General features: G+C 40.0%; 1 annotated feature.

Moving 5' to 3' along the window:
• Positions 6,371-7,076: an enhancer, noted in NCBI's record as "OCT4-NANOG hESC enhancer chr1:88188659-88189364 (GRCh37/hg19 assembly coordinates)". NCBI's record gives its function as "activates a minimal SCP1, AML or CMV promoter by ChIP-STARR-seq in naive and primed H9 embryonic stem cells {active_cell/tissue: H9 hESC(naive and primed)}" and the evidence as "EXISTENCE:reporter gene assay evidence [ECO:0000049][PMID:30033119]".

The raw sequence follows: 8,588 nt of genomic DNA on the forward strand, positions 1-8,588 counted from the left end.
CAGAAATTGAGCCTCAGAATGATCACACCACTAGCTCATGGAAGAGGCAGTCGAAAGTTTATTTATTTATTTATTTATTATTTTGAGATGGAATCTTGCTCTGTCTCCCAGCCTGGAGTACAATGGCGTGATCTTGGCTCACTGTAAGCCCTGCCTCCCAGGTTCAAGCGATTCTCATGCCTCAGCCTCCCGAGTAGCTGCGACTATGGGTGCGTGCCACAACACCCAGCTAATTTTTGTATTTTTTAGTAGAGATGGGGTTTCACCATGTTGGCCAGGGTGGTCTCGAACTCCTGACCTCAAGTGATCCACCCACCTTGGCCTCACAAAGTGCGGGGATTACAGGCATGGGGCACGGTGTCTGGCCAATCTATACTTTGAAACCAGACATTGGACCAAAAATATTAGGAACATCAGGAACCAGAATTAAAACAGATGATGCCTAATTACCTGGATTATCAAAGTAGCTAAAAGCCTTTAAGGGGAGAGGCTCTGTTTTGTGGAGATGAACCCCATAAAAGGCAGAGGTTGGCCTCTGGTTCCCTAGTGACTTTGTACATGTGATTTAACCTCTGGGTTCATGCTTGAGTGAATTAAGATAATAATGTACAACTAGAAAAGAGCTGAGAGAAATAAATACTTTTTGGATATTTCAAGCTTCTCAGATGAGATATGAAAATGTTGGTGAAAGATACTACAGTACTTCTGGTAAATTCCTATCTTGACCCAAAGTGTCTACAAGAATGTTCAAGTAAAACCAAACACAAGTTTCAGAATTTACCTCTTGGGGGTGTTAGAATCTGCTTGTTATGTATTTCTGCTAATGCTATGTTGGCAAAAGGAGCCTATTTTTGCTAAATGTGAGAATAATATCACCATTATCAGCTGATTTCTTTTGTTTGGCTTGTTTCGGAAGAGTTTAACGTGATTCTAAGATACCCTTTAAGATCCTTCATCTGGAGTTTTGAGTTTCACAATCATGGTTTGTGGTAAGAATATAGAGTATAATTATATAGTTATCTTTATCTTTGGTCTCAGAAGGGAAGAGTGAGTTCAGAGAGTCTTTCTTTCTTTTTTTTTTTTTCTAATGAGAAAAGAGAAATGGGTCAGGATTTGGATTAATAAATTTGACATTCAGACCAATAAGCTGTTTAGGTCATAGGGAAAACACATTTAGAGCCCTTGGCTTTAGTTTCTAAAGAAGACTTGTTCCTCCAAGAAACCAAACCAAGGGGCTGCCAGGGTCTGTGTTCACAAAATCATTCAGCTGTTAAGAGTGAGGTACAGTGAGACCCAAAACCTCACATCCTCACCAAAACTGTCTGAAGTTAATATGATCTCCCATATCTCACAGGCAGATTGCTTTCAGTAAGAAACCCAGCAGGAATGTTAGTTCTGATGTCTATGAATAAATAGAAGGTTCTGATCTTCCTCCTTGTAAGAAGTATCTGAATTTTAAAAACCATGAGAAGAAATAATGACTAACAAATGTGGAAAACTCCACTAGCAAGAAAATACTGGCAAGGAAGGGAAGATGGACTATATGTGATTTTTTTATGGGGAGGTAAACATATAGATATACACTGTGGAATGAGAAAACTGGATTTTAATGTCACTTATTTAACTTATTTTACAAACACAGAGCATGCTTGCTGTGTGCCTTGCACTGTTCTAAGTGCTTAACAAATATTAACTCATTGAACTTTCTCTTTTGATGCAATACTAAGCCTAAGAGATTGTTTTATTCTGAAACCTGGAACAGAGATAAGGTTGTCTGTACATTAAAATGTCTTGCCTTATAAGGAAGTGTTTGACTGCACTAGATTAAACTCATAAAAGCTAATGAAGAGTCCTCCTTAATACACATTTCTTTTTTCCTGTTTGGACTTGAAGTGACAACATTACAGAAACACCCTGCAGGTTTTTATCTAAATAGCATCCTATAAAACAATGTCCTCTTGTCAGTCACCACTAATTCAGCACAGTCAAGCTATAAATCTGTCCAAAGGCCAGCAAAGTGCTTAACTTGGCACATCACTAATAAAATTAGGAATGTGGGTTTATTACATGAACCTTAAGTAGGTTTGGCCAAGATATTAAGATTTTTCCTTATGGCAACCATGGCTAATGTGGATTGGTATTTTCATTATAACACACCCCACAGCATTTCCCAGTAACATCTCAGGTTTCCAAATTAGACAATAATCTTCTGCACTTTCATACTCACTGCTAGGTCCTGCAGCTGGAGCCCCCATCTCTAACGCCTCACACTTTAGGGTACTCAAAGATGGTAAAGACTTTTCAATAATGCTAATACTACTGAATAAAATTAGAGCAAATTAATTAATACTTCTATTAACGTAAACTGATTTCACTTTGTTCAAGAACAGAAGCACTTATAGGCTTTTAACATGCGCTTAGAAATATCATTTCAGCTCAGGGCAATTTTGAGAAGTGATTTATAAGCAGTTGCAAATGCTTCTAAAATGGTAAGATTTGAGAAAGCCAAATGTATGTTAACCGAGTTGTCCTGCGGTCCTGGGTATTTTATTTTTTAAATTATGAAAGAGTAATAAGTATATCCTCTCTCCTGAGCCAACCTTTTTTGTGATGGCTTATATTTGCATAGTAATTTAGTTTACAAAGTGGGCTCATCTGCTTTCCTGTGTCTGATCTTGGGATGACCCTACAAGGTGTATTATTACCTTCATTTTATAAATGAGGACACATAGTGAGGATCAGAGCTGAGATTGGGAATCAGCTCTCCACCTCATATCAAGGTAACCCTCACATTTGTGAACATTTACAATGCTACAAAATGTTATCATATCCATTTGATCCTTATACCACCTAGACAATGTGCCTGTATAAGTGTGCCTTCGCATGCATACTTTATAATTTTTTACTCTAGCGTTTCTATTTTCCCCAATCCAAAGACTGACTCTTCCCTCCCCAACGACACTAGCTTCCACACTTACCTTTCTTACCAATCTTGTTGAGGTTGCCTACATTGGCAACCTGCATTATGGCAGCTGCATTAAGAGATTTGAAATGCAACTGTGCAGAGGGGAGATGGGAAGCTCTCTTTAGCATGCTGCAATCTCAAAAACCTGTAGATGGGCAAAGTCACTAAAGTTCACTTCATGAAAAATACAACACACCACTGAGAGCAAGTATGATTGATGCCCGTAGAGCAAACTGTTTATCAGACAAACACATTTTGCAAACTTTCACATAAATTGTTAAGTTGCCTTATCACCCAGACAGTGTAAAACTAGCATCTTTGTAGGAACTTCCCCAAAACTCTTTAATGACCTCTAAAAAGCTTTATCTTATCGTGATCTGATTTGCTACTACAATAAATCATTTACAAATAGGTTAAAAGAAAAACGAGTATTAGAAATATGGATTCATTTTCCAAATATAAGAAGCCTTCAGCTCTTGGCTGGCTATTGTGCAATTGTGAAGGCATGATAAAACACTCAATATGCTCAATACTAAAAGATTCAACAGGAGAAAAAGTGCTGCAACCTATTCAGATCTAATTGGAGGCTAATTACACATTTGGTAAATCAGGCAAGCCCTTTAATTTTCTTCTTTCCTGCTTTCTGACTTTTACCATTTATAGTAAGGGTGGGAGTAAAACAAGGAAGTTATATTGTTCAATTTCTAGCATGTCTGATATTTGAAAATGAAAATGATATCCGGAGGTGGTGGTATACAATTGGCAGTCAGGATACTAGGGTTTAAATTGTGCTTCTGTCTTATATAATCCAATTTGGTTCAATCAAATCAGTTAAATTAACATTTATTGAGCACCTACTATGAGGCAGACATTGTAGTAGGTATTAGGGATATGAAATAAGCAAGATATTTCTGTCCTTAATGGATCTTTTATTCTGACAAATCACAACTACTCAACACATTGCCTTTTTCACCTTTAAAATAACAGAATTAGCTCAAGTAATTTTTAGCTGTTTCTAATTTCTGTGTGGGTTATTATTATTATTATCTTATTTTGCTGAATCTTATCCATTGGCTTCTTCTCACCTATTTTCCATTCTTTTTGAACTTACTCTCTACCCCGGAAGAATGACAACAAGCTCTCTTGCCCTTTGGCTTTGGTTGTGTTTGGTTAATGAGAAGCCCTTGTGGTAGATCAGAGGGAGAGAAGAAAGAGAGGTCAGATTATGTGTTCATTTGGCTCATTCGTTTGCAGGGATGAGTTGCACTGGCTGTGTCACTCTATGGAAGGTCCTTGGTTTTCTCAAGGTAGCCCTATGTGACTCTTTCCTTCAGGGTGTTGGTAACTGACCTCTTTCCTCCCTTTGGGCAAAGGTATGGTAAAAGCACCACTGTTTTAGCTACAGAACACTGACTGTTCCTGTGGCCTGCTTATATCCTGCCCACTGCTTTTAAAATAGTCCCTTTGTAAATTGTCTTCAAATCTTCCTAATTTGAGGGTGCCATCTGTTTCCTGCCAGGACCCTGGTTGATATACTATATGTGTCTTGTCAATTGGTTGAAAGTGATTTTTGAAGTTTTGAGGAGAGGTCAAAGTAAGGTAGAAATTCTAAGGTGGGGTGGGGGATATATTCATTCTTATAGCAGATTCACCATTTTCCTTGCCATAGGAAAGATATTCTTTTTTTTTTATTTTTTTTTATTTATTTTTTATTTTTGAGACAGAGTCTCTCTCTGTCACCCAGGTTGGAGTGCAGTGGTGCGATCTCGGCTCACTGCAACCTCCGCCTTCCGGGTTCACGCCATTCTCCTGCCTCAGCCTCCCGAGTAGCTGGACTATAGGTGCCCGCCACCACGCCCGGCTAATTTTTTTGTATTTTTAGTAGAGACGGGGTTTCACCGCATTAGCCAGGATGGTCTCTATCGCCCGACCTTGTGATCCGCCTGCCTCGGCCTCCCAAAGTGCTGGGATTACAGGCGTGAGCGACTGCACCAGGCCAGGAAAGATATTTTCTAACATTTAATTTATTTTTTTATTTTATTGTGGTAAGAACACAACATGAGATCTACTCTCTTAACAGATTTTTAAGTGTACAATACAGTGTTGTTGACTACAGGCACAATGTTGTACAGGAGATCTCTAGAATTTATTTATCTTACATAACTAAAACTTTATGCCCATTGATTAGCAATTCCCTCTGTCCCCCTCCATTCAGCTCCTGGTAACAACCATTCCATTTTGCTTCTGTGAGGTTGACAACTTTTGCTACCTCATAGAAGTGGGATTACGGAGAATTCTGGGACTGATATATTTCACTTAGCATAATTTCCTCAAGGTTCATCCATGTTGTCACATATTGCAGGATTTCCTTCTTTTTTAAGGCTGCATAACATTCCATTGTATATCACCTTTTCTTATCCATTCACGCACAGATGGAGGTTTAGATTGTTTCCACATCTTGGTTATTGTAAACTGTGCTGCAGTGAACATAGAAGTGATAATATATATCTCTTCAAGATCCTGATTTCAATTCTTAATTTCATGGGACTTGCAGATGGCATATGATGAGATAACAAAGAATCATAGAGATTTGACTAGGCCAAATTACATTTCCCAGAATTCTTTTCCTTATATGTTACAGGGTAAGGAGGGCCATGAGAGACTAGTTTTGTTTTCTTTTTGCATTACAGTTGGAATGTGGAACCAAAATAGCAGCCATATTGTTTTATATTCTCAAAAGTCCAGGCAGGGTCACCAGGCATGTCTGCAGCTCATGCGCTTATGCACTGACTTACTTCATTGGTGTCGGGACAGCAGCAGGGCCTGCAACTGCTTTATCTTCCCCTGAATTCTCCTTTAGCTTCTTTAACTTCTGGGAAAGATGTTAAGCACAGTGATGAGGAGGACTAATTTCTCTGGCAAGGCCTGACTATCATCAAGGTTAGCAGCAGGGAGAACTGACAGTTTCCAGTTTGTGATTGTGGCTTCCAACTTGTGTTGGTGGGTTCCAGCTTGTTTTTGTTCTCCTGTCCATAACTCCATCTTCCCACTCAACTCCCTGCCTTGAGGATTTCAAGCTCTAGTATAAAATGTAAAGGAAACAGCCTTACAGAGACTGTTTAGCTTGCTCCTATAATTGTGTAAGAACAAATCTTTGTAACTTCTTTCTCTCTGTCTCATTGAGATATATGTGTGTGTATCTGTTTATCTATCTTGCTATCTATATCCTTGCAATACTGTGTGTGTGTGGGTGGGAATAGATGTGTGTGTGCTGGGATCCATTCCCAGCACATCTATGTATATTTATGTATAACCTAAAATATAATTTATAAATCTCTAACCATCTATCTACACACACACACACACACACACACGGATGCACACATAGGCACACACACATATCCTGGTGGTTGTTTCTTTCTCTGATTGAATCTTGACTGATAGACTGTGTAAGGCTTTTTTGGAAGCCTGAGCTTCAGGTATATCCCCTTTAAGTTGGATATGCTCTTTGTATCACCAGCCAAGAACACATCAGCCAAGACCAAATCTTGAATATCATATTAAAAGCAAAGAAACTCTCCTTAAAATAGCTCATTGGCAAATGAACATTAAAACTGGGTAAGATTTTTTAATTGGGCAATTATATACAAATCTCTGAGAGAAGCTAATGATCTAATAATCTGTTGGCTTGATATTCCTTGTGATAATTTTATGTGTCAACTTGAGTAGGCCATAGGGTGCCCAAGTTAAACATTGTTATGTGTATGTCTGAGATTAGCATTTGAATCAGTGAACTCCTAAGGTAGTTTGCCTTCTCTAATGTGGTTGGGCATCATTCAATCCACTGAAGGCCTCAATAGAGCAAAAGGTGGGGGAAGAAGAAATTCCCTCCTTTTTATCTTCCCTCACTACTTAAGCTAGGACATCTCATCCAATGTTCTCCTGCCCTGAGACTGTAATTTACATCATTAGCTTCCCTGATTCTCAGGCCTTCAGACTCAGATTGAATTACACCATTGGCTTTCTTGGGCCTCCAGCTTGCAGACTGCAGACTATGGGACTTCTCAGCCTCCATAATCACATGAGCCAATCCCTTATAATAAATCTCACTACTGGCTCATGTGATTATGGAGGCTGAGAACATGTATTTACATTTTTTCTCTATTGCTTTTGTTTCTCTGGTGAACCCTAACACACCTCTGGAGTCAACTCTGGAGACATCACAGAAGGAAAATGGAGGTTGATGATCTCAGAAAAAAAAAATAGATGCAATATCCCTGGGGAGACAGCGTTTGGATCATGGGGTCTGAGTATGGAGAGGGAAAAGATGAGCAGCCCAGGGTGGACAAAAGTGTGTGTAGTAGAAAAGCAAAAGGCTGGGAGTAAGGTTTTAAAATGTGCTGATTACCCACTTCCAAATCATGAGGAGACAGAAAAGCATGAGGCAGTATCATTCCAGCCATTACCAGTGGGGATGATACCAGGGAGTGCAGAGGCCTGGATGGGTTGGAGAGGGGAAGGCTACAAGTGCAGGCAGACTTGTGGGTTCTTGAGCATTCCCTCTCTACCTCCCTGCATTACAGCCCAATGGCCAGGTGGATTATAATCAAGAGATAAAGCCCTTGGATAAGAACAGAATCCAGAATCAACGATATAGGAGAATTCCCTGAGGGTCACTGTAACCTAGTGAGATGTGTTTTTGTATAGAACAAGGAGTGATCAAGCTCTGAGGGTAACATCAGACGATTTTCATCCTGATTTGTTGGCCCCCTACCTCCTACTTCCTAAATTCTCACAGAAGGGCACAGGCTAGGGTCTAGACTTTTACTCCTTCTTTAAAGAATACATGTCCATCACTTCTGTAATCCCAGCACTTTGGGAGGCCGAGGCGGGCGGATCACGAGGTCAGGAGATCGAGATCATCCTGGCTAACACAGTGAAACCCCGTCTCTACTAAAAATACAAAAAAATTAGCTGGGCGTGGTGGCAGGCACCTGTAGTCCCAGCTACTCGGGAGGCTGAGGCAGGAGAATGGCGTGAACCCAGGAGGCAGAGCTTGCAGTGAGCTGAGATCGCGCCACTGCACTCCAGCCTGGGCGACAGAGCGAGACTCCGTCTAAAAAAAAAAAAGAATACATGACCAGGCCGGGCACCGTGGCTCACGCCTGTAATCCCAGCACTTTGGGAAGCCAAGGCGGGTGGATTACAAGGTCAGGAGATTCAGACCATCCTGGCTAACATGGTGAAACCCTGTCTCTACTAAAAATACAAAAAATTAGCTGGGTATGGTGGCATGTGCCTGTAGTCCCAGCTACTCGGGAGGCTGAGGCAGGAGAATTGCTTGAACCCAGGAGGCGGAGGTTGCAGTGAGCCGAAATTATGCCACTACACTCCAGCCTGGGCAACAGAGTGAGACTCCATCTCAAAAAAAAAAAAAAAAATACATGATAGTTGATATCCTCAGGGCAAGATAAGCTCAGAAAAAAAGAAATCATGAACTATTTGAGGTGTTACAAGCATTGTGAAAGACTAAAGGATGAAACTAAATTTTCTGTGTATGAAGCAGAATTAATAGGCCAATAAGGACAGAAATTTAAAATACACATAATAAACATTCTCAGAT

The sequence above is a fragment of the Homo sapiens genome, chromosome 1 (genome assembly GCF_000001405.40).
Source record: "Homo sapiens chromosome 1, GRCh38.p14 Primary Assembly".
In the NCBI taxonomy this organism is placed as follows: Eukaryota; Metazoa; Chordata; class Mammalia; order Primates; family Hominidae; genus Homo; species Homo sapiens.